This window comes from Homo sapiens, chromosome 5, assembly GCF_000001405.40.
Source record: "Homo sapiens chromosome 5, GRCh38.p14 Primary Assembly".
Classification (NCBI taxonomy): Eukaryota; Metazoa; Chordata; class Mammalia; order Primates; family Hominidae; genus Homo; species Homo sapiens.
The window spans coordinates 119,107,259-119,133,002 of NC_000005.10; the positions used below are offsets into that span (position 1 = coordinate 119,107,259).

The window sequence follows — 25,744 nt, forward strand, 5'->3', positions numbered from 1 at the left end:
TGAGCCCAGGAGGTTGAGGCTGCAGTGAGCCATGATTGTGCTACTGCTTTCTAGCCTGGGTGACAGAGCAAGAACTTGTCTCAGAAAAAAAAAAAGAAAAGTTATCTTTGAGACATAGAAGTCATCAGAGAGAGATATAAAACTATTGGTAAACTGATTAATGCCTTTCTTTTGTGTCCAAATTTAATATTTTATGTTGCCTAATTCATAAGATTTTCTGTTTTAGACTTTTTATGCTTTTTTCCTGCTTTACTATCCATAATATCCTGCTTTAATATCTGTAATTTAATATCTGTAATATCTAATTCTTAGAGTTTGAAATCAGTATACCATATTATATCTTACCTACTTTTGTTCCATTCCATACCTGGGATTAAGTTTATATTCTGTATTAAATTCTTAATCTTTTATGGGATATCTTAATGTTATCTTCAGTTTATATTAAGCAAAAGAAAAGTTGTATCTGTTGGTAAGTTCAAAAGTGGAATAATCAACATATTTAAATGGAATGTTTCATTACTTCTTGTGCTTTTTTTTGGCCCCTGTCTATGAAACCTTCTGTCTAGTTGCTCTACTATTTATTGAGCTTCTGCTTAGTGCCTGGCCTGTGCTAGAGACTTTGTGCATATTATATAGCTAATCCTTACAACAACTGTATTTAAACCTCAAATTTTATAGATGAGAAAATTGAAGTTCAGAAATTACCCAACTAGATCAAATTCACATGGCTAATTAAGCATCTTACTTGGGATTTAGACACAGGGATTTCTGATCTAAAGTCTATGCCAGAGATCCACTTTCCTTTTGAAACAAGAAAACGAGGGCGAAGCATGCTGGCCCATACCTGTAATCCCAGCAGTTTGGGAGGCTGAGTTGGGAGGATCGCTTGAGCCCAGGAGTTTGAGACCAGCCTGGGCAACATAGCAAGACCCTGTCTCTTCAAAAAATTTAAAAAAGTGATTGTTCTAGAAATACACAAATCTATAGTCTTAAATTGCCAAGGTGAATGCCATCTTTATTGTCAGCTTTTTTGCCAAAATTGCTTGTCTTTTGTATGGATGATAGCACGGCCTTCTACTTAATTCCCAAGTCATAGAGTTGGAATCTGTCCTTTAACCCTCTTGTTTTTTCTCTGTATTTATTTGGTGTCAAATCTTGACAATTCTTTTTTTCATTTTTTCTTGAGACAGGGTCTTGCTCTGTTGCCCAGGCTAGACTGCAGTAGCACAATCATAGCTCACTGCAGCCTTGACTCCCCAGGCTTGAGTGATCCTTTCACCTCAGCCTCCCTAGTGTCTGGTACTACAAGTGCGTGTCTAACTAATTTTTGTAATTTTTTTCTGTAGAGGCAGGGTTTCACTATGTTGCCCAGACAGGTCTTGAACTCCTGGGCTCAAGCAGTCCTCCCACCTTGGCCTCCCAAAGTGGTGGGATTACAGGTGTGAGCCACTGCACCCAGCCTTGACAATACTTTTTGAAATGGCTTTCAAATGCTTGCTTTTTAAATATTTGGTTGAGATCCTCATTATTTACCATCTGAATTTTTTTTCCTTTTTTTTTGAGGTGGTGTTTCGCTCTTGTTGCTCAGGCTGGAGTGCAATGGTGTGATCTCAACTCACTGCAACCTCTGCCTCCCGGGTTCAAGTGATTCTCCTGCCTCAGCCTCCTGAGTAGCTGGGTTTACAGGCATGCTCCACCATGCCCGGCTAATTTTGTATTTTTAGTAGAGATGGGGTTTCTCCATGTTGGTCAGGTTAATCTTGGACTCCCGACCTCAGGTGATCCACCCGCCTTGGCCTCCCAAAGTGCTGGGATTGCAGGTGTGAGCCACCGTGCCTGGCCTACCATCTGAATTTCTATAGTTAATTAACCAGGTTTAATAGTTTAATAGTTGGTTAACCACACACTTATGGTTTCCCTGATGTTGTCTGTCTCTGGAGTTGTTTTCTAAAAAGTATTTTTAACCTTCTTTGTATACTAGAGTCTTTGAAATTTCGATGTAAGTTACATATTATCTTTCTGGAAAAATGCACATATTGTATGTGTGATTTTTGTATGTTATCTCAATAGAGGGAGACTCACAGGCCTCTCCATCTGTTGACTGCCCCTCTTCCAGTTAAGCCCTCTTGTTCTGAAATACAGATCCAATTTTGTAACAACTCCCCCACAATCCCCCACTGCCACTTGAAAATCTTTTACTCCCAACTACCTATAACAAAGTCCAAACGCTGTGAACTTGAAAAACTCTTCACAGTCTCACCTTGGCATTTTTTCCGTAGTAATTTTTTTTCTAGCCTATCTGTGTACGTTATTCGTTAACCTATACCAGATTAAGAGGCATTCTTGGGAAAATACATAAATTTATATGTCTTCATGCCTTTGTTCATGTTAGGTTTCCTTTCTGAAATGCCTGTCTCTTCTGCTTATTCATCCATTAAGGACCAGGTTTCATTTCCTCACTTTTCCTGGCACTTTTACTACAGGTACACATTAATGTCTCCTTCCTGTGGGCTTCCATAAAGCTTTGCATGCATTTCTATCATGTATGTAACACTTCCACATGGTATCATATTTCCATGTCTTTCTGCTGAAATATGAACTCATGAAAAACGACAATGTTTTGTTTGTCATTGTATTTCCAATGTCTAGCACAGTGCCCGGGACAAAGAAGATGCTCATTAAATACTTGTTAAGTGAGAGATTATAAGATTTCTTCCTTTCTATCTCAAGCTATTTTAACGAAATTAAAATACAGCCTTCTCCTCCGTTCTTCAAAATTTTTTTTGATATTTGACTTTTTTTTAGAAGTTGTTTTATATGAAATTCTTGAGCATGTAAATTAAGTCACTATTAAATACCTAAATAATAAATGAGGAATAATATTTTTTTTAGGCAGTCGTCTTTTAACTGGTTCCAGCTATTTGCAACTCTGGTCCAATACTAACTTGGAGAAGCCAACTGAAGATGAAAATTTAAATAAAACAGATCTTAACTTTGGAGATTGGAAATGCATTTGGCATTGCAAGTAAGCAATTAATCAGGGGAGTAAACTGATAAACCTGTTGTTCTATGTGGTTTTATTATAAATGTATTTTAGTTGTGTAAAACCACACTGACATAAAAAGTATTGATTTTTAGTCTATGATATGCTTTTTCTTATACACAGATAATTCTCTATTTCCCGTGTTCTACAAATACATTTTTTAAAAATGTCAATTAAAATAGGAAGAAACAAATGTGTAAGGCTTACATGAAGACCATTAAATACAAACTTGCCAAATTATATGAAAAGATAGATGACTTTCATGCTTTTGAATGGAAGACTTCCTATTCTGAAGAAATCTATTTTTCCCACATAATCTATATATTGAACATAATCCTTGCCAAAATCTGAGTGGAATTTCTATTAAGCATAGTTCTAAACTCTACTTAAAAGGACAAATATGGGAAAGTCAGAGAAATTCTGAAAGAAAAGAAGAATGAAGATTTGCAGTATAGTAAAATGAATTCTAATGCCACAGATGATCAAGCATTTTGTTATTGATGTAGGAACAGACAGATTAGGATCCAGGATTAGACTCTGGAGTGCAATGATGTGAGGCTTACTGCAACCTCCACCTCCCTGGTTCAAGCAATTCTCCTGCCTCAGCCTCCTGAGGCACTGGGATTACAGGCACGCGCCACCACATCTGGCTAATTTTTGTATTTTTAGTAGAGACGGGGTTTCACCATGTTGGCCAGGCTGGTCTTGAACTCCTGACCTCAGGTGATCTGCCCGCCTCAGCCTCCCAAAGTGCTGGCATTACAGGTGTGAGCCACCGTGCTCAGCCTTAAGATAGTCTTTTATAGCAGGGAAAACTAGCTAGCTCTGTAGACGGGAAATTAAATTAGAGTCTTTCATACCTGATACCAAAACAAATGTGAGATGGAAAAAATTTCTATAAAATGAAACAAAAATATTAGAGGAAAATACAGGTGAAATTTTATATTTTAGAGCTACATTGTCCAGTATGGTAGCCACTAATTACATGTTATTATTGAGCACTTGAAATGCAACTAGTCCAAATTGAGATGTGCTGGACTTCAAAAATTTAGTATTAAAAATAGTGTAAAATATCTCTAACATTTTAAAAAATATGTTGAAATGATGTTTTTATATATTAGGTTAAATAAAAAATATTAATTTTGCCTGTTTTAACTTTTTTTAAAAATGTGGCTGATAGGAAATTTAAAATTACATATTTGGCTAACATTTGTCATTTATGTTATATTGCTGTTCGACAAGAAATGCTGCTTTAGAGTTAGGGAAAGACTAAGAATGACACCCAAACTGGAAATGGATAGGATAGGAAAAATTAATAGTTCTAACCGTATCAATAAAACATTTCTATAAAGCAAATTGTCCATAAGGGAAGAAACACAAACATGAGGAGAAATATGTGCAGTTTTGGGCAAATGCGTTTTTAAAAGTAGGCCTTAAATTAGTTAGAAAAGAACAGGTATAACAATAGTAAGCAACATTGGGCAATGGAGAGAAAATTTTAACAAGATATAGCACATATTAAAAATAAGTGCAATAAGAGGTGATCTCACTTGAAATCAAGAATGTGAAATGTTCAGAAAAAGGATGAATGTTATCTAATAGTGTTTAGAGAAATAGGTGCTCTTGTATACTGTCAATAAAGCAGTACAGTTGATATTATCTTTATTTTTTTTTTTTGAGACGAAGTCTCGCTCTGTCGCCCAGCCTGGAATGCAGTGGTGTGATCTCAGCTCACTGCAAGCTCCGCCTCCCGGGTTCATACCATTCTCCTGCCTCGGCCTCCCAAGTAGTTGGGACTACAGGCGCTCTACCACCATGCCCGGCTAATTTTTTGTGTTTTTAGTGGAAACGAGGTTTCACCATGTTAGCCATGATGGTCTCAATCTCCTGACCTCGTGATCTGCCTGCCTCAGCCTCCCCAAGTGCTGGGATTACAGGCATGAGCCACCGTGCCCGGCCTGATAATATCTTTCTAGAGCACATTTTGGAAGTATGATTCAACAGGCTTAATTTTTTTCATACCCTTTAAATAAGATTGCCAGGTTTCATTCCTTCATTCAACAAATATTTGTTGAATGGTTCCAGTCAGCTTTAAAGATGCTTAGAATATTGCTATGAACAGATAGGGGTAGATAGAAAATAAACCAGTAAACTGGTGTAACAGGATTTAAGTGAAACTGACTAGGTTTATATGAAGTGGTGATAGCATAAATATCACATACCAAAGTAAGGCAGACGTCCCATATGTAGAATTTACAGAGGAGATTTCAAAGGAGCTCGTTCCATGTATTTTGCACCCCTCAGATAGGTAATGGGTTAACATGTAGAAAGGGAACAGAATTTTGCATAAATAATTCTTTAGAAAGAGCTGTAGGCTGGGCTCGGTGGCTCACGCCTGTAATCTGAACACTTTGGGAGGCCGAGGTGGGTGGATCACCTGAGGTCGGCAATTCAAGACCAGCCTGGCCACCATGGCGAAACCCCGTCTCTACTAAAAATACAAAAATTAGCCAGGCGTGGTGGTGCATGCCTGTAATCCCAGCTACTTGGGAGGCTGAGGCATGAGAATAGCTTGAACCCGGTGGTGGAGGTTACAATGAGCCGAGATCACACCACTGCACTCCAGCCTGGGCAATAGAGTGAGACTCCATCTCAGTAAAAAAAAGAAAAAAATAATAATAGTATTTTGTCTTAAGGATATCCTTAGGATTAACCAGATGTTCTAAAAATGTGTGTACAGGCATGTTCACTTCTCTTTTTTGTTCTTGTTGCAGCAAAAATTAGAAAACAGCAGTGAAAAATTATTTGAAATCATTGTATGTATATATATGTAAACATATACAGTGGAATATAAGCCAGTAAAGTAATAATGTAGATCTGTACACCTGCACACATATACACATCTTTTGCATCTATATGCAAAGATGTTCATGACATATTTTTGTTGTTGTTGTTGTTCGAGACGGAGTCTTGCTCTGTCACCCAGGCTGAGTATGGTGGCGTGATCTTGGCTCACTGCAACCTCTACCTCCTGGGTTCAAGCAATTCTCCTGCCTCAGCCTTCCAAGTAGCTGGGATTACGGGGGCATGCCACCACGCCTGGCTAATTTTTTGTATTTTTAGCAGAGATGGGGTTTCATCATGTTGGCCAGGCTGGTCTCGAACTCCTGACCTTGTGGTCTGCCCACTTCAGGCTCCCAAGGTGCTGGGATTACAGGCGTGAGCCACTGTGCCCAGCCCATGACATATTTTTTTAGTGGGTGATAAGTGTGACTTCAGTTTCTAGCCCTACTTTTCCCACCTTTTCCTGCAGAAAGTAGAGAGAGTGGAGAGAAGGATTTGGAAGTTTATGTATTAAAATGTTAACATTGGCTTTGTCTGAGGAAAGGATGTGGTGGTACTGGTGAAAAATGTAAATGATTTCATTTGGTTTTTATCTACCTGTATCAACTTTTCTGTAATGTATTATGCTTAAAATCAGAAAAAAAAGTTATTTGTATCTGAAATGAAATGTGACAGAATTCCTCTTTGGATATCTTTATAAATAAATTTAGAATTGACCTATCTAATCATGCATTTGAGCAAAGAAAAGGAAAGCAGTGATAGTGGTGAGTGTCTTGAGATCAGTATATATGAGTAGCTGTAAGGGAAGGCAATGAAGAGAAATGAACCAAAGTTCCTTTGAGAAGAAAAGGCAAGTATCTAACAAGTATATAGGTGAAGCTGGTAGGCTGAATTCCTAATTGTTGCAAGTCCCCTGTTAACCCACACATAATCTTTAATTAGGTAAGTATTACCCTAAGGCAAACTTATTATATATTATCCATGAAAATGTATGTTGGCATATAGGGATCCATGGTTCTGGAAACTAGATTTTCAGATTTAAAAAATGAAACCATTCTCTCTCATTCTAAGGGAATGAAAGTTACAACTTTTGTTTTAGGCTTTAAAGATTTTGACAAGCCATTCCTTCCATGAGTCTATGGGTGTATGTTTTTATATTTAAAATTTATCTTACTAACTAGTTCATTTTTCAGGTACACAAAGATGTGGGTGTGAAACTTATAACATTTTCTGTCTTTTGAACCAATTGCTGATTTATAATTTTGAGAATATTGAACTTTTTCTTTTTAGTTTTCATTGCAAATTATTCCTTATCTGTTTAATTTACAGAACTGCTTCCCAAGTTCATTTAATGAAATTTTCACCAGATGGAGAATTTTTTGCCACTGCTGGGAAGGTAAATTGTGAAAATGCTATTGCCAAATTATGTGTTTATAGTTTACTTTGAAACTTTAAAAACATCAACTGGCTTCATTCTTTTATTTATTTAACTTGAAAATAATAGTTTCCATTAAAAATTGTTTTTTTTGTTTGTTTGTTTTGTGATGGAGACTCACTCTGTCATCCAGACTGGAGTGCAGTGGCACGATCTCGGCTCACTGCAGCCTCTGCCTCCCAGGTTAAAGCGATTCTCCTGCCTCAGCCTCTCAAGTAGCTGGGACTATAGCCCCACACCACTATGCCCGTCTAATTTTTGTATTTTTTAATAGAGACGGGATTTCACCATATTGGCCAGGCTGGTCTTGAACCCCTGACCTTGTGATCCGCCCACCTCGGCCTCCCAAAGTGCTGAGATTATAGGCGTGAGCCACCATGCCCGGCCATTAAAAATTTTAAATAGCAAAAATTGACTCCATTATTGTGGTGTTAAAAGACTGTGTGATATAATTGAAATTACATAGACTTAGGGGCAGATCTGGATATAAATCTGCCATTTACCAGCTTTATCACCTTGGGCAAGTTAATCTTATTGAGCCTTTCTTTTCTCATGTGTAATATGAGGATAAAAACACCTACCTCATAGGTCATTAATCGTAGGATTAATTTAGACAATATATGCAGTATAGAGTGACCGGCACAGTGCCTTTCATGTAGTATACAATCAATAAAGCATAGCTTCAATTTATATTACCTTTTAGCTGATGTGTATTAGGCTGTTTTTAATATATAAGACTTCATAGGCTTTCTAGAAAGATACTAGTAACCATTTCTTTAGTGTGTATACTTTATTACCTGTCTATTTTAAAGCAATGTATTTCTTTGAAGTTATTTTTATTCATTGGTTCATAGAGCATTTCACGAGCTGCTAATAAGTCAAATTATTGTTCTCATGGCTCAAAGCATTCTGCAAACTAAGAGTGTAAGTTACTCTAAAACCACAGTAAGGTTTTTGTTTTTTAGGAGAGAAGTTGAGCTGTTTATTCTGATTGACTTTACAGGTGGGAACTCAGTTATAGCTTAAAAGCAGTACCTGGTACATTCTAGTCCCCTTTGCTTTTCCTTTATTTCCCAAATTATGACTATAAATTTGATTGTACAAAGAATATTTTATATAGTATTTATATATTAACTCATTTTTTTCACCATCAACATTTTCTTTGAAAAGTCACATGAAAATTCATGAAAAGTATCTCTTTTTTTCAATAATTAGCAGTCTTCATAAGTCTGCTAGTGGTGTTGATTACTTATTTAATATTTGGCTTACTGGAAAAGACGTCCTTAATTTTATCTTTCAGTGTTTCCTGAATGACTCCATTCCCCTTACTCTAGTAATTAGCAAGCATTTTTCTTGAACACAGAATACACACATTCACACACTTCAGTTTTTAAAGCACAGTTAGGCAATGCTAATAGAAAAGTGCCAGAATCAGAATTTTCTTAATTCCTCTGTGCTCAACGTCTCTTCCCATCCCCAAGTTCTTGCCATTGGGGAGAAAATTCTTACTTTTGCTATTTGATTTAATCTTTAATTCTGATCTCCATGATTTTCTGTTTTGTTTTTTTTTTCCTTAGGATGACTGTCTTTTGAAGGTTTGGTATAATGTAGAAAACTGGCGGACAGCTGTTACTTCTCCAGATGGAAGTTCAGAAAAACAATCCCAAGGAGAAATTGACTTTTCTTTTGTGTATCTGGCCCATCCTCGAGCAGTAAATGGATTTTCCTGGCGTAAAACAAGCAAATATATGCCTAGGTCAGTGGATTGGTCATTTCCCTCCACATATTAAGGGAGCATCATCTTTGTTACTTTGATTGCTTCTCTCACTTTTGAGAGTCCATAGTTACAGGACTTCTGAGCCTATGAAGATTAGAGTAATATTAAATCGTCTCTGGCCTGCACATCTCTGGCTGTGGCTCAACTATGTTTGATGCTTAGGATAAGAGCCGTATTAAAGGAGTTTAAGCTGGGATAGTTTACTCCATATCAGATGTCTTTAAGTCACAGAGTTGTACATATTTTCTTTTTCTTTGTGTTTTGTGTCTAATTCTGTCATCTATTTTCTCCAGATTGTTGTTTGTTTATATTTTTACATAAATACTCTGTCGTCTTGTACCTTCTAGTATGTCTTCCCTGGTTTTCTTCTTTTAAAAAATAGCTTTATTAAGAGGATATATCATGAGTTCTTGTATGTTTATTTGACTACACCCAGCATATGTGAGGAAAAGAGAGAGTAGGTTAATACCCTACCTTATTCTTCTTTGAAACAGCTATAAGTTTAACCACAAAAGCACACAGTGACACACACATACATATCCTCAGTATCTTCTTTTTTTTTTCTGTAGTTCTGGAAAGAGTTAATGTAATACTGAATTTTAGTAGGTTATAGAGACCTATTACTTAAATACAGGTATAAATTCCCTATTTTTGTTTGTTTTTTATGTGTTTTTGTTTTGTTTAGTTTTGAGACAGGGTCTTGCTTTGTCACCCAGACTGGAGTGCGGTGCCCCAGTCATGGCTCACTGCAACCTCTACCTCCTGGGCTCAAGTGATCCTCCCGCCTCAGCGTCTCAAATAGCGGGGACTACAGGTGTGTGCCACCATGCTGGGCTAATATATTTTTTTCTTTTCGGATTTTTTGTAGAGATGGGGTTTTGCCATGTTGCCCAGGCTTGTCTTGAACTCCTGAGCTCAGGCGATCTGCCTGCCTCAGTCTCCCAAAGTGCTGGAATTACAAGCATGAGCCATGTGCGCAGCCAGAAATCCCATTTTGTACTATATGGCCATTTTCAACTTGGCCACACCATGTGGCATTTTTTCCCTAGCTTTTCACTGTTCTATGAATTTTGCTGACTAGATGTTTTGAGCTATAGTGTAGCTATAGCCAGGACAGGGATAGAGAAAAGAGAGTGAGAAAAAATGGAGGGAGATGGGTGTGAGGATGGGGAAAGGAGGAGAAACAAGGGGTTGGGGAAGGAAAGGAAAAAGATGCTAGGAAGGGAGAGGTAGGGGACAGAAGGAGAGAGGTAGAAAGGGAAGGTGGCCTGGAAAGGCTGTGAAAGCAAAGAATGGTGGGAGAGAGAAGCCCGGAGAGGAGGTAGAAAGGGAGAAGAAAACAAGGAAGTAGACAGAAAGAGGAGAGGGCGCCAGAGGGAGAGAGATGCAAGAATGGAGGAGGGAAGGAGAAGGAGAGAGCAACCAATACAAATTATGCTGTTCTCCCTTCTGTTCTGCAACTTCTTTTTTAGTCAGTTAGGTAAGTTTAACAAAGTGGCTACTAGACAATATTTTGATTTCTCATTTACTTTAACTCACTGAGTTACTGATAAAACCTGCTGATTGTTCCGTTTTTAAAAATCAGATATGTATGCTGGAACAAGTTACTACTACAAAATATTGTGACTTTTTCTTTCTTTCTTCTAAACTTACTGAATTCCCTGATGGAAGGTAGTCCTTGCTGATAGGGTTTCAGGCTTTGAGCTCTTGTTGCTTGTTGGACTTATTAACATATATGTAATTGATTTTTGCTTTTATTTTAAGGAGGTGGCAAAAAGGAAATTAACTGAAAGTCAAGGATGACTAAGGAGGGGGAAGTGTTTAGTACTTTATCATGAATATTCAATTCTTGCATTTCACTGCTTTGGGCATCTGTTAGGTAAGGAGAGAATAAGTGTACTCAGTAGTTACTGTAGCTTTTTGTGACAGTGTGCAGGTGCCTTTATAGGAAGTAGAAATGAAGCATATGATATAATTCAAAGAACTATCCACTCAATAAATCAGAAAATCTTATTAGAAGATGTGGTTATTTCTTATGTGTCAACTGAGAGATTGTGGCTTAATCTCAGTCTTTGTTTTTTTAGATGTAAAAAGAATCTTATTGAGTGCTGGGATGGTGGCACACACCTGTAATCCCAGGATGAGGCGGGAGGATTACTTGAGCCAGAGGATTGCTTGAATCCAGGAGTTTGAGAGCACCCTGGGCAACATAGTGAGACCACATCTCTTAAAAAAAAGAAAGAACGTTTGGCAACATTATTGAAACAAGAACTACTGAATTCTAGGCAGAAAAGAAATAGGTTGGCAAGCATTTGCTGTGATGAAATCTGTACATATTGATATTTTCTTCATTGGTACCTTAGTTGGTACATTTAAGTAATTACAGAAACATCGTAGAATTTCTGTGATACTATGTGAAATTTGTATTTTTGCTTCTAAAATCTTTTCATTCCTTAGGGCTTCTGTATGTAATGTACTGTTGACTTGCTGCAAAGATAATGTGTGTCGTCTTTGGGTAGAGACATTTTTACCAAATGATTGTTTGCTATACGGAGGTGACTGCAGCCATTGGACTGAATCAATTAATTTAACAAATAACTTCAAGAGAAATGCTTCCAGTAAAGAACGAGTTCAAAATGCTTTAGAAGTGAGTGTTTTTGTTACATTACTTACTACAAGTTTTAAAACCTTTGGTACATTGCCTTTTTGGTAACACAGTAATGTTATAAAAAAACTATATCCTAGGAAAATAATTCTTAGAAAATTTTCAGTTCTATTTGGTTCAAAAAACATATTTTTATCTAGATTTTGTCTGGAACACAAAACTACCTATAATTATGAAGTTACTCTTAGGTTTACTGATGATGATAAAAGGATGATTACATTTGACTTGGCTGAAGTAACATGAAGTAAAATCTGAGAATGCAGAGATTTAACTCTGAAAATAACTTATTTTTTCTTTCTTAGAGCTTGAGTAGTTTGTCCTATTCTGTTCTTCTACCATTTTATCTTTAGAAAACCCACCCCACCCCCAGAACTTGGGGTCTTTACAAATTAATATTGAAAGTAAAAGTCAATTTTTGATTTTTGGACATGCTAAAGGTAGAATAGTAATACATTTGATCGTAGCCTAAAGGCTGAGAAACAATAGTAGAATAGTAATACAGATTCTTCCAATTTTTTTTTTTTTTTTTCTGAGACAGATTCTCACTCTGTCAACCAGGCTGGAGTGCAGTGGCATGATCTTGGCTCACTGTATTCCTGGCCTTAGACTCCTGAGTAGCTGGAATTACAGGTGTGCATCACCACGCCCAGCTAATTTTTGTATTTTTAGTAGGGAGAGGGCTTTACCATGTTTGCCAGGGCTGGTCTCGAACTCTTGACCTCAAGTGATCTACCTGCCTCGGCCTCCCAAAGGACTGGGATTACAGGCATAAGCCATGGCGCTCGGCCTATTATTTTCTTAATATTGAAAACGAAGTGATTTTATTTTTTGTGGATTTTTTTTTTGGGTGGGGGAGTTGTTTTGTTGTTGTTTTTTGAGACAGAGTCTCTGTCTGTCACCCAGGATGGAGTGTAGTGGGGCGATACCAGCTCACTGCAACCTCTGCTTCCCGGGTTCAAGCAGTAGTCCCTCCTCAGCCTCCCGAGTAGCTGGGATTACAGGTGTGTGCCACCACGCCTGGCTAATTTTTGTATTTAAAGTGGAGATGGGGTTTTGCCATGTTGGCTCAAGTAATCCTCCCACACCGGTTGGTCTCGAACTCCTGGCCTCAAGTGATCTGACTGCCTTGGCCTCCCAAAGTGCTGGGATCACAGGCGTGAGCCACCATGCCCGGCCCTGAAAACAGAAGTGATTTTGAAACAATTTATCTTTGAATGCTTTGTATGATTATGCAGCAACAATTTTTCTAATTTGAATAGTATTCTGATGCCTCAGAATATAATAAATTCTGTATTGATTCAACAACGAATAGAATGGTTACATGTAGTAATAGCTGAAAGAAGTTACTGACCAGGAATCTGAAGACTTGTTCTACCTTTTGCCCTGCCTCTTCTTAGCTAGATGATCTTGGGTTCTATATAGACCATTTTATCATATGAAAGATGGGAATAACAATATTTGCACTGCCTGCCTCATGGCATCAAATGGGATGATCTCTATGAAAATGCTTTGTAAATTATGAAATGTTCCATGTGCAGTGGTAATATTATTTAATACTGTGTGGTCACAAGGAGTTAGCTATAGACAAAAGACAGTGTATGTAGAGATATCAGTCACAAACAATAGTATTGGGAAAAAAATTTTTAACATTTGATTTTAGGAAATACATTTTAAGAAAATAAGCCTAATAAAAATTGCAAAACACTGTGTGAGGATTAAGAGAACAGCCAGGTACTTTAAGTCATAACTTTATTCTTCAGGATTCAAATTTGCTATACCAAAATATTGAAAGGTGTTTTTACATATAAAATGTTAAAAGGCGTTTTTACATATAAAACATGTAAAATGTTCTGAGCTAGGATATATGTAACTTCTGACAATCATTATATAACCTATACGTGTATGACTTTTGACAATATAGGTATTAGTTTTGTTTCTATTCACACAGGTAAATCTGAGACATTTTCGTAGAGGTCGGAGGAGATCACTTGCTCTTGTAGCACATACGGGATATCTACCACATCAGCAGGATCCTCATCATGTTCACAGGAACACTCCACTGCATGCCAATGCACTTTGCCACTTTCATATTGCAGCCAGCATCAACCCAGCCACAGGTAATGAAACATTGTTCAAAACATGTTTCTGAAATTGAATAGATTGATTTTATAACAACTAAGTTATACTTTTAGTTTTCAAATAAGTAAAATATTGGAGGTGACTGTCTTAGCCTATTTTTCTTTTTTTTTTCTTTTTTTTTAATTTATTATTTATTTTTATTGATCATTCTTGGGTGTTTCTTGCAGAGGGAGGTTTGGCACGGTCATAGGACAATAGTGGAGGGAAGGTCAGCAGATCAACAAGTGAACAAAGGTCTCTGGTTTTCCTAGGCAGAGGACCCTGCGGCCTTCCGCTGTGTTTGTGTCCCTGGGTACTTGAGATTAGGGAGTGGTGATGACTCTTAACGAGCATGCTGCCTTCAGGCATCTGTTTAACAAAGCACATCTTGCACCGCCCTTAATCCATTTAACCCTGAGTGGACACAGCACATGTTTCAGAGAGCACAGGGTTGGGGGTAAGGTCACAGATCAACAGGATCCCAAGGCAGAAGAATTTTTCTTAGTACAGAACAACATGAAAAGTCTCCCATGTCTACTTCTCTCTACACAGACACGGCAACCATCCGATTTCTCAATCTTTTCCCCACCTTTCCACCCTTTCTGTTCCACAAAACCGCCATTGTCATCCTGGCCCGTTCTCAATGAGCTGTTGGGTACACCTCCCAGACGGGGTGGTGGCCGGGCAGAGGGGCTCCTCACTTCCCAGTAGGGGTGGCCGGGCAGAGGCGCCCCTCACCTCCTGGACGGGGCGGCTGGCCGGGCGGGGGGCTGACCCCCCCCACCTCCCTCCCGGACGGGGCGGCTGGCCGGGCAGAGTGGCTCCTCACTTCCCAGTAGGGGCGGCCGGGCAGAGGCGCCCCTCACCTCCCGGACGGGGCGGCTGGCCGGGCAGGGGGCTGACCCCCCAACCTCCCTCCCGGTCGGGGCGGCTGGCCGGGCGGGGGGCTGACCCCCCCACCTCCCTCCCGGACGGGGCGGCTGGCCGGGCGGGGGGCTGACCCCCCCACCTCCCTCCCAGACGGGGCGGCTGGCCGGGCAGAGTGGCTCCTCACTTCCCAGTAGGGGCGGCCGGGCAGAGGCGCCCCTCACCTCCCGGACGGGGCGGCTGGCTGGGCGGGGGGCCGACCACCCCACCTCCCTCCCGGACGGGGCGGCTGGCCGGGCGGGGGGCTGACCCCCCCACCTCCCTCCCGGAGGGGGCGGCTGGCCGGGCAGAGGGGCTCCTCACTTCCCAGTAGGGGCGACCGGGCAGAGGCGCCCCTCACCTCCCGGATGGGGCAGCTGGCCGGGCGGGGGGCTAACCCCCCCCACCTCCCTCCCAGACGGGGTGGCTGCCAGGCGGAGATGCTCCTCACTTCCCAGACGGGGTGGCTGCCGGGCGGAGAGGCTCCTCACTTCTCAGATGGGGCGGCTGCCGGGCGGAGGGGCTCCTCACTTCTCTGACGGGTCGGTTGCCAGGCAGAGGGTCTCCTCACTTCTCAGACGGGGCGGCCGGGCAGAGACGCCCTTCCCCTCCCAGACGGGGTCGCTGCCGGGCAGAGGCGCTCCTCACATCCCAGACGGGGCGGCGGGGCAGAGACGCTCCTCACTTCCTAGATGTGATGGTGGCCGGGAAGAGGCGCTCCTCACTTACTAGATGGGATGGCGGCCGGGCAGAGATGCTCCTCACTTTCCAGACTGGGCAGCCAGGCAGAGGGGCTCCTCACATCCCAGACGATGGGCGGCCAGGCAGAGACGCTCCTTACTTCCCAGATGGGGTGGCGGCCGGGCAGAGGCTGCAATCTCGGCACTTTGGGAGGCCAAGGCAGGCAGCTGGGAGGTGGAGGTTGTAGCGAGCGGAGATCACGCCACTGCACTCCAGCCTGGGCACCATTGAGCACTGAGTGAACAAGACTCCATCTGCAGTCCCGGCACCTGGGAGGCCGAGGCTGGTGGATCACTCGTGGTTAGGAGCTGGAGACCGGCCCGGCCAACACAGCGAAATCCCGTCTCCACCAAAAAAATACGAAAACCAGTCAGGCGTAGCGGCGCGCGCCTGCAATCGCAGGCACTCGGCAGGCTGAGGCAGGAGAATCAGGCAGGGAGGCTGCAGTGAGCCGAGATGGCGGCAGTACAGTCCAGCTTCGGCTCGGCATCAGAGGGAGAGCGTGGAAAGAGGGAGAGGGGAGACCGTGGAAAGGGGAGAGGGAGAGGAGGGAGAGGGAGAGGAGGGAGAGGGAGAGGAGGGAGAGGGAGAGGGAGAGGAGGGAGAGGAGGGGGAGGGAGAGGGAGAGGAGGGAGAGGGAGAGGAGGGAGAGGGAGAGGAGGGAGAGGAGGAGAGGTAGAGGGAGAGGGAGAGGCCTATTTTTCATTGTAGCAAGCTCACTGATTTCTGTTTGTTTGCCCTTTAAGGCCATGACTTGACTTGTGATTTAGGATCTTGATAAGGCATTGAAGTTCATTATTAGTTTATTCAAAAATTGATATTTGAACTGTTACTTAATAAAGGTTAGTACTACAGATATAGTATTGTATTTTTTTAATTTTTATTTTTTATAGGCATGGAGTCTCACTGTTTTGCCCAGGCTGGTGTCAAACTCTTGGCCTCAAGCAATCTTCTTGCCTTGGCCTCCCAAAGTGCTGGGATTACAGGCGGGAGCCACTGTGCCTGGCCTTTCTTTACCTTTCTTTTAAACCATAGATTTGTTTTGGAGAAAATTGTTTACACTCCTTGAGTTCATTCTAGCCTTTACAGTTTAGCAGACACCAACATGATCCAGGTTTGATTTAATGTGATACTTAAATTTTTGCTTACTTCTACTAATTAGGGATTATTTGCAGCAACTCACTGGATTAGTACATCAGTGTACTCAATTTAACATTCATATCAAAAGTAACACCAAGGAGCTGGGCATGGTCACTCATACCTGTAATCCCAACACTTTGGGAGGCTGAGGCAGGCAGATCACCTGAGGCCAGGAGTTCAAGACCAGCCTGGCTAACATGGTAAAACCCCGTCTCTACCAAAAATACAAAAAAAAAAATTAGCCAGGTGTGGTGGCAGGCACCTGTAGTCCCAGCTACTTGGGAGGCTGGGGCAGGAGAATTGCTTGAACCTGGAAGGCAGAGGTTGTAGTGAGCCGAGATTACACTACTGCACTCCAGCTTCCTGGGTGGCAGAGCGAGACTCCATCTCAAAAAAAAAAAAAAAAAGTAAGAAAGACCAAGGAACAAATGCTTTTTTAGCTGTGTGACTGTCTTGAATGCTTTCCTTGAGCGTGAGAAGGGAACCTCAACTTCAGTCTTAATGCTAACAAATAAGCAGTCCATCTTAGAATTAGCTCATTAAAGAGGTTGATAGGTCAGTCTATTAAGTAAAAACTAGTTGTTGTTGATATTAAGATACATATGTTACTAGTTCCTTTGACATTATGGTGATGACTTTTTTTTTTTTTTTTTTTTTGAGACAGAGTCTTGCTCTGTCGCCAAGCTGGAGTGCAGTGGTGTAATCAAGGCTCACTGCAACCTCTGCCTCTCGGGTTCAAGTGATTCTTCTGCCTCAGCCTCCTGAGTAGCTGGGATTACAGGCATGAGCCACCATGCCTGGCTAATTTTTGTATTTTTAGTAGAGATGGTGTTTCACCATGTTGGCCAGGCTGGTCTCGAGCTCCTGACCTCCTCGTGATCTGCCTGCCTTGGCCTCCCAAGGTGGTGGGATTACAGGCGTGAGTCACTGCACCCAACCAACATTTTTCTTTTATTGTGGATCAGTTTAAAATTTGCTTGTTACCAAAATTTGTTATAAATTAAGATACTTCTATTAACAGAGCTACAAATTATAGACATTTTATCATGTGAATATTTTTCACTGTTAAACATTTATGGTTAAATAAATTATACTGTATGACCTAGGACATATAATTTAATCTCCTTTGCAATAGATACATTAAATTTACCGTTTAAATCTGTTACTGTTAATAATAGTGGCAAACATTATGTTGGAAGTCTTCTTTTACATCACAACATTGTTATGTGAATTTTTGACAGTAGAAACAAAAATAGAGAACTACAATATATGAATATAGCTAAATACAGAATGGTGACTTTTTTCTCTTCAAGGGTAAAAAGACTTTTTTTCTCTTCTAGTGAATTAGACTGCATAAATAGAAAAAGATTGATTCATTAGCTTTACAGTTTTGCCTAGGAATGATCTATAAATGCATTTCCCCACCTGCTGCTTACGGAAAGTATAAAAAGGAAGTTAAAGGAAAGTTTCCTTGTTGGTTACTACCATAAGAAAGGTGCTATATTCTATTTTAGCAGGGCCACTATATGGAAAATATCTAAATTAAATGTTGTTACAAAAATGAATTACTAATGAGATTCTAGCTAAGGAGGGCACTAAATGTGGATTTTGTGTGTGTATATATATATGTAATTATTATTATTGTTATTATTTTTGAGATGAAGTCTCACTCTGTTGCCCAGGCTGAAGTGCAATGGTGTGATCTCGGCTCACAGCAAACTCCACCTCCCGGGTTCATGCCATTCTCCTGCCTCTGCCTCCCAAGTAGCTGGGACTACAGACGCCCGCCACCACTCCTGGCTACTTTTTTGTATTTTTAATAAAGGCGGGGTTTCACCATGTTAGCAAGGATGGTCTCAATCTCCTGACCTCGTGATCCACCCACCTTGACCTCCCAAAGCATTGGGAATACAGGCGTGAGCCACCGCGCCTGGCCAATATATATTTAAAAAATCCAAAACAAACAAAGGTTGCTATAAAAAAGCTCTGTATGTACTGTAAGCATATAGGTTTTTTTCTTTTTTTCATGTGTGTTTTTAAACAATGGAAGAGTCAACTGTGTTAGACTAAATTATGTTATTGACTGGGTTCGATGGCTCACATCTCTAATCCCAGCACTTTGGGAGGCCGAGGCGGTGGTGAAGTCAGGAATTTGAAACCAGCCTGGCCAACATGGTGAAACCCCGTCTCTGCTAAAAATACAAAATTAGCCAGGCGTGGTGGTGTCTGCCTTTAATCCCAGCTACTTGGGAGGCTGAGGCAGGAGAATCGCTTGAACCTGGGAGGCGGAGGTTGTAGTGAGCTGAGATTGCGCCATTGCCCTCCACCCTGGGCAGCAAGAGTGAAACTCTGTCTCAAAAATAAAATAAGGTAAAATAAAATAAAAGCATTATTGTATGTGCTGCATTGAATGGAACGTTTATATTATAATTATCAAAAAAGTTTGCGTCATAGCAATTTATCCTCATTGAAAACCTTGCAGCATCCTTTTATTTTGGAATATCCTCTCAACAGTCATACCACCAGGACATGACTGTATAACAATAAAATATTCTCTTGCATTAAATTGGGGATATCTATTCAATAAAAGACAAAAAAGAAAATGTAGGAAGTGTACTTAGAGCTGTTACTTTCTAAGTGCCCAACACCGTGGACAATTCAAGCATCGTAATCTCTGTAAATAACAATAACAAAAAAAATTTTTGTCCTGCTGTTAAAATCCATCATTATAGACAAAACTGGTGAAGATTGATTAGACAGATTCATCTAACACTGATGTCCAAGCTGGCGTTGGCAACTAATGCATAACTGGTGGTCAATAGAGATTTTGAAAGATCTTCACTTTCTATTGTTCTTTTCCAGGGGTCTTGAAGAGTTCTGTTCTAAAATATGTTGTTGAGTTGAGCTTCTCAGTTTGCTTTTTCATTCTCAAACTGGTGACGTTTTTCCTCTAATTCTTTGTGCTGTGCTTAAATTCCTTTTTGCTCTTGGCACCGTTGGAGCTCAGTTTCAGAGTCCTTCAGTTTTTGAACTTTTTTTTTTTTGACCTTCATCTTGAACGCCTGCTTCATCTTTGTCCCCATCTTCTTCATTTTAGCTACATGCTGTCTTCTTTCCTCTTCCATTTGTGCCAGAGGGCTCTTAGTAAGCTGCCCTTTATTCTTGTTGTTTTCAACTCCATTGTAAGTCAGGTGCCATTTTTCTGCTTCTGTGGTTTTCGTAATGGGCATTATCAGGAACATCTTTCAAGTCTTGTATGTGTGTTCCTATCAAGATACTCCTTAGAATTGTAAAATTACAGTGCTCACCATATTCAACATCAGCAACACCCTTAGGATACTGCCTTCCTCTGACTCTCTTGCCATTAACTTCAATGGTAGTATTATTGGCTACCACAGCAAGTGGTAAACAGTCCTTTATCCTTTTTTTTTTTTTTTTTTTGAGACAGAGTCTCGCTCTGTCACCCAGGCAAGCCTGGTGATAGCTGGTTGTCCAGGATAGAATTTTAGTTCAACTTTAAACTTACCGAATTACTCACAGAATTTTACTTAGTCTGGTAATCTGGAGTGCAGTGACCGATAGCTCACTGCAACTTCTGCCTCCTGGCTTCAAGTGATTCTTGTGACTCAGCCTCCCAAGTAATTGGGATTACAGGCACATGCCACCATGCCTGGCTAATTTTTGTATTTTTAGTAGAGATGGGGTTTCGTCATGTTGACCAGGCTGGTCTCGAACCCCTGGCCTCAAGTGATTTGCCTGCTCTGGCCTCCCAGAGTGCTGGGATTACAGACATGAGCTGCTGCACCCAGCCAGTCCTTTATCTTTTTAACAAGTTTATTTTCTTCATCATGTGTTTTTGGAAATTCATATATTTAATTTTATGTTCTTAGATTTCTTTCATTATCTGTTTTTAAACTATTGGCATTTCTCTGGTATCAGCATGTCTGCTTTGGCAATAAGTGGGAATGATATTCACTTTTTCAAGCAAAAGCTTCATAAACTTAGTATCAAATGGTTTAAGTCCATGTCCTGAAGGAGAAATGAAGTATAAACAACCCTGCACCCTGTTATGAGGCATCTGACATCTGTTTTATCATGATTCTCCATTTAGGTGGTCCTCAATTTACTATCAGTGTAGTCAGTAACCAACAATTACTATTACCCATTGCAAGTCTAAATCATGGGATATCAACTCTTGTGAGCAGCAACTGAACACCACCTTCTTTGATTAAAACTTTGCATAGTTCCACCTGCACGGTCTTTTTAATTCTGTGAGAAGAATCTGGATACTCTGGAGAATACAGAGTGAAGAATAATGAGTTGATTAATGTAAAGTTTCTGAATCCAGATTTCCCCACTGCCATAAGTATGAATTCCAACCCTCTCTTCACTGATTTTCTGGATATTTGATTTGGGAGACTGGAAAATCCCACGTAGACTTCAGGGTTCTTCCGTTGAGCTACCATGCTGCTGTTGATGCTTCTCTCCTCAGCAGCAGATCTCTTGCTGACTGACATACCCTCCCCACTCCATGACTAGCCCCAGCTGGAAATCTTATTTAGAGGTTAAATAAAATGTGTTCCAGAGATTTAAAGATAAATGAAATATTATAAATTTGTTCAGACCCGTAGAATGTACAACACCAAGAATGAACCCTAAGGTAAACTGTAGACGTTGGGTGATAGTGATGTGTCAGTGTAGATTCATCAATTGTAATAAATGTACCACTTTTGGTAGTGGATGTTGATAATGTGGGAGGCTATGCATATGTAGGATGGGGAATATGGCTGTACCTTTGAATTTTGCTGTGAACTTAAAAATACTCTAAAAAATAGTATTTAAAAAATCTTAAAATAGGCCAGGCACGGTGGCTCACGTCTGTAATCCCAGCACTTTGGGAGGCTGAGGCAGGTAGATCACGAGGTTGGGAGATCGAGACCATCTTGGCCAGCGTGGTGAAACCCTGTCTCTACTGAAAATACAAAAATTAGCTGGGCGTGGTGGCGTGTGCCTGTAATCACAGCTACTCGGGAGGCTGAGGCAGGAGAATGGCTTGAACCAGGGAGTTTGCAGTAAGCCAAGATCACACCAGTGCACTCCAGCCTGGCAACAGAGCGAAACTCTGTCTCAAAAAAACAAAATCTCAAAATAAAATTAAAAAGTGAAAGAGAAGGACTTTCAGGCAAACAAAATATAAATGTAATAGTAATAAAAATATGAAACATGGATGTTTCATATGCTAGAAGGTAAAAATTTTAATTTTATCTTTTTTTTCTCTTATAGACATTCCACTTCTTCCATCTATTACATCTCTGAGTCTAAATGAAAATGAAGAGAAGACCGGACCTTTTGTTGTACACTGGCTAAACAATAAAGAACTGCATTTTACTTTGTCCATGGAAGTTTTTTTACAGCAACTTAGAAAAAGTTTTGAACAACCATCTTCTGAGGCCAGTGTAGAAGATTCTAATCAGGCAGATGTAAAATCTGATGAAGGTAAACTTTAAGAGGAAAGGAAAATTTAAAGTTTTGCTCAAAATAGCAAACATTTTCATATTAGGGTAAAACTAGCTACTTGTAATAAACTTTAAAGTTGCAATGACATGATCCAAACATGGACTAGCTCATTTAATAATCTAATGTAGATATTTCTGTTATAGGTAGCTTTCTTCCACATGGTTATTTAAGGACTGGGGGTTCTCATTCTTCTGGTTTTGTTAGCCCTTAGGACTTTCCTATATAAAGGACTATCTGTAGACTAGCAGCATTGGTGTTACCCAGGAGCTTGTTAGAATGCATGTCTCAAGGTCCACACAGACCCACCAAACCAGAATCTGCAATTTAATGAAATTTCCAGGTGATTTGTATGTACATTAAAGTTTGAGAAGCATTGAAACTAGGACATTAAATTTCTCTGCCTTTGGCCTTCAGTTGGTATAGAGAGAGAGTTAGAGAGAAAGAAAGCATAGCTATTTGTCAGCTACCTTGATTGACGCATATCACTTACACTGTCATTCAGCTGGCAAGAACATTCAGCTGGAATTCACAGGGCCCGTGTAGTTCCTGACTCTGTAGCCTTTATATGCTGAGAAATGGAAAGTAAGAAACTGTGGTGTGCAGCTAGCCATCTCTGTGACAGTCTGTGGTTCATAAATGTGTTTGGTTTTTTTTTTTAAAGTTTTGTTTTAATTTGTTTAATTTTTAATTTCAAGATGGTTTATGATCATTAGGTAAGAAAAATCAAACAGGTACACAGATAGTTATGAAGTTTCCACATTGTTAAGTTTGATAAGTATCCTTCCAGTTTGATTCTTTGCTTATGCTCACACAAACATCTAAATACAGACACTTAAAAGTTGTACTGTGGGTGTGCATTTTTATACAGAAATAATGTTCTGCACTTTGTGTTTTTTTTTTGTTTGTTTGTTTTTTTTTGATGGGGTCTTGCTCTGTCACCCAGGCTGGAGTGCAGTGGCACAATCTTGGCTCACTGCAGCCTCCACCTCCCGGGTTCAAGCAATTCTCCTGCCTCAGCCTCCCGAGTAGCTAGGATTACAGGCATCCGCCACCACACCTGGCTAATTTTTTTATTTTTAGTCAAGACAGGGTTTCACCATGTTAGTCAGACTGGTCTCGAACTCCTGACCTCAGGTGATCCATCCACCTGGGCCTCCCAAAGTGCTGGGATTACAGGCGTGAGACACCATGCTCGGCCTGTGCTTTGTTTTAATTCAGTCAGTAATGGGCAGTTTTTCATATCATTGTATTTAACGGCTGCTGAGTATTCCATGTCTAAGAGAAATGTCTAACAGGTCTTCTATTGATAAACATTTAAATTAATTTAAATTGTTTTTCATTATTCTAGGTACAATGACTTGTCTTTTTCTTTTTTCTGTGAGTTTTTCTATAATCTTGATTTCTAGATGGGGAATTTCCAGGGAGTGTAGCAATTTAAAATATCAATAACTTCTGACAAATTGCCCTCCAGAAATGTTTTACCAGTTTATACTTCCTCTAAGTGTATCTAAATATATGCTTTACATCCTTATCAACATTGGATGTTTTCATTATATTACTTTTTTTTTTTTTTGCCAGTTGATAACGGGACAATGGACATCTTGTTTTACTTTGCATTTTCTTGATGCAAATTAAGCAGAATATCTTTTATTATATTTTTGCCCTTCTGTGGCTTGCCTTTTAATACCCTTTATCTAATTTCCTGCTGAGTTTTTTTTTTTTTCTTATTGATTTGTATATCTTGACTTACTTTTTAAATCTGGTAAACAGTCAAAACTTAAAAAAAATATATCTCTTCAGAGAAAGGCTCTATATTGCTAACCAGGAATTGGGGGAGGGTGAGGGGACTGGGATTTTTGAAAGAGGAAAGAATATACATATTTACCTGTATTGATAAGTTGATACACAGTTTATTTTTTGTTACTAAGGTGTTGAAGGAAACCTGGAAATTGGCACCATAAATGCATTTCCTTGAAATGATTTCTTTAAGATGCCATACCAGTTACAAGTCCATACACCTAGAGGATAACTAATGTAGCATACTGAGGTTTGGATAAACCTGGTACTTTAGAGATAAAGTACAAATTACACTCAAATAATGTATTTTAAAAACTCAGTCCCAATTTTAGTTCCAATTCCAATTCCTTCTTTTTACCATGAGCAAAACTGAGGTCCAGAAAAGTAGTGTGTGTTACTAAAGGTTAACTGAGTGGTTAAATATAGAACATCTGCATTGAGAAGCCAGTTTACTTATTTTCCAGTTTAATATTAGGTCTTCTACCAGTAATCCACTGACTCAGTCCTGTATGGCTACTGATTACTCAGTGAACTTCAGTGACCTTATATTCCTGGAGCAAAGTTACTTTTAATGCAGAGCCCATTTCTTATTAATATGAAAACTGTTATGTTTTTCATCTTGAATCCATTTATAAAGATATTTGTGTGTGTGTTTGTACTAATTGTATTAGTTTTGCTAAGGCATTTTATGTTCCTCACACTCAAGGCAAAGAGATAAAACATAATCTGAAGAAAAATATATACTTCTTCAAAATAAAAAGAGTCTTCTTCATTATGCAGATCTGGGCATATTGTACAATACTTAATGGCTCAAGGGGATCAAAGTACCAGTTTGATGCTGATTCACTAAATAGAATCTCATTCATATTTGATGACTGGACTGTTTGCGGGCTGTGATAGATTGAACCATTCTGGTGATATCCCCAGATCTCACTAAATAAGAAAAGGCTCTACACTAGAATATGTGACAATTGATCTGGCTATAAATTATGTCTATAGGCTCTTTATTATTATAAGGTGGCGAAAGAGGCCCCTTTCTTGAGCACATGTTTAATAAAAGTATTATTGTCATCTATAGATTGCTGGATTGATTTTGTGTTGTTATAATGAAGATAAGGTGCATATACCACTGTCAGATTAAGAAAGTTACATAACTTGGCCGGGCACAGTGGCTCACGCCTGTAATGCCAGTACTTTGGGAGGCCGAGGCAGGTGGATCACGAGGTCAGGAGTTCAAGACCAGCTTGACCAAGATGGTGAAACCCCGTCTCTACTAAAAAGTACAAAAATTAGCCGGGCGCAGTGGCAGGCACCTGTAATCCCAGCTACTTGGGAGGCTGAGGCGGAATTGCTTGGACCCGGGCAGCAGAGGTTGCAGTGAGCTGAGATCACGCCACTGTACTCCAGCTGGGGCAAGAGTAAGACTCCGTCTCAAAAAAAAAAAAAAAATGGAGCAAGTCCCTTTTCTGGGTTGACAATTAGTCCTATATTGGCATTGCTGCTGGCTATGAAACTCACCACCAAAGGTAAACGATTAATTTGAACTACTTGGTAGGTGTTATGGTAACAAATGATACTTTTATTTTTTGAAAGTCCAAGTTTTCTCCTTTCATCTGTGCAAGGGCAAAAGTAGATAAGAAACTAGATCTCAAAGTATGCTCTGGAGCATTATCATTAAGCATTACATTTACTGGTTTACTTAAAGTATATTGCAAAGAATACGGATAAAGAGATGTGTAGGGTGAGGTGTGGCGGAAGGGG

General features: G+C 40.0%; 1 protein-coding gene and 2 pseudogenes across 26 annotated transcripts in view, besides 1 other annotated feature; 1 reads left to right on the forward strand and 2 right to left on the reverse strand.

Annotated features, from left to right (window-relative positions):
- DMXL1 (Dmx like 1) overlaps positions 1-25,744 on the forward strand; it is a 178,101-nt gene that overhangs the window by 36,232 nt on the left and 116,125 nt on the right. For 23 of the 26 annotated variants that reach the window (NR_170867.1, NR_170868.1, XM_011543213.3 and 20 more), the window contains 6 exons: positions 2,893-3,025; positions 7,217-7,283; positions 8,900-9,078; positions 11,557-11,746; positions 13,713-13,881; positions 21,953-22,165. Coding sequence is in view for 23 of the 26 variants with exons in the window: in XM_011543213.3 (XP_011541515.1) it covers positions 2,893-3,025; positions 7,217-7,283; positions 8,900-9,078; positions 11,557-11,746; positions 13,713-13,881; positions 21,953-22,165 (951 nt within the window). In the remaining 3 variants the exon portion in view is untranslated. The remainder of the gene's footprint in view (positions 1-2,892; positions 3,026-7,216; positions 7,284-8,899; positions 9,079-11,556; positions 11,747-13,712; positions 13,882-21,952; positions 22,166-25,744) is intronic. The other 3 variants (XM_011543215.3, XM_047416837.1, NR_170869.1) reach the window with 2 other exon arrangements.
- Positions 13,825-14,675: an enhancer, noted in NCBI's record as "NANOG-H3K27ac hESC enhancer chr5:118456778-118457628 (GRCh37/hg19 assembly coordinates)". NCBI's record gives its function as "activates a minimal SCP1, AML or CMV promoter by ChIP-STARR-seq in naive H9 embryonic stem cells {active_cell/tissue: H9 hESC(naive)}" and the evidence as "EXISTENCE:reporter gene assay evidence [ECO:0000049][PMID:30033119]".
- On the reverse strand, positions 19,301-21,215 carry SEPTIN7P10 (septin 7 pseudogene 10; annotated as a pseudogene).
- On the reverse strand, positions 25,427-25,644 carry LAMTOR3P2 (late endosomal/lysosomal adaptor, MAPK and MTOR activator 3 pseudogene 2; annotated as a pseudogene).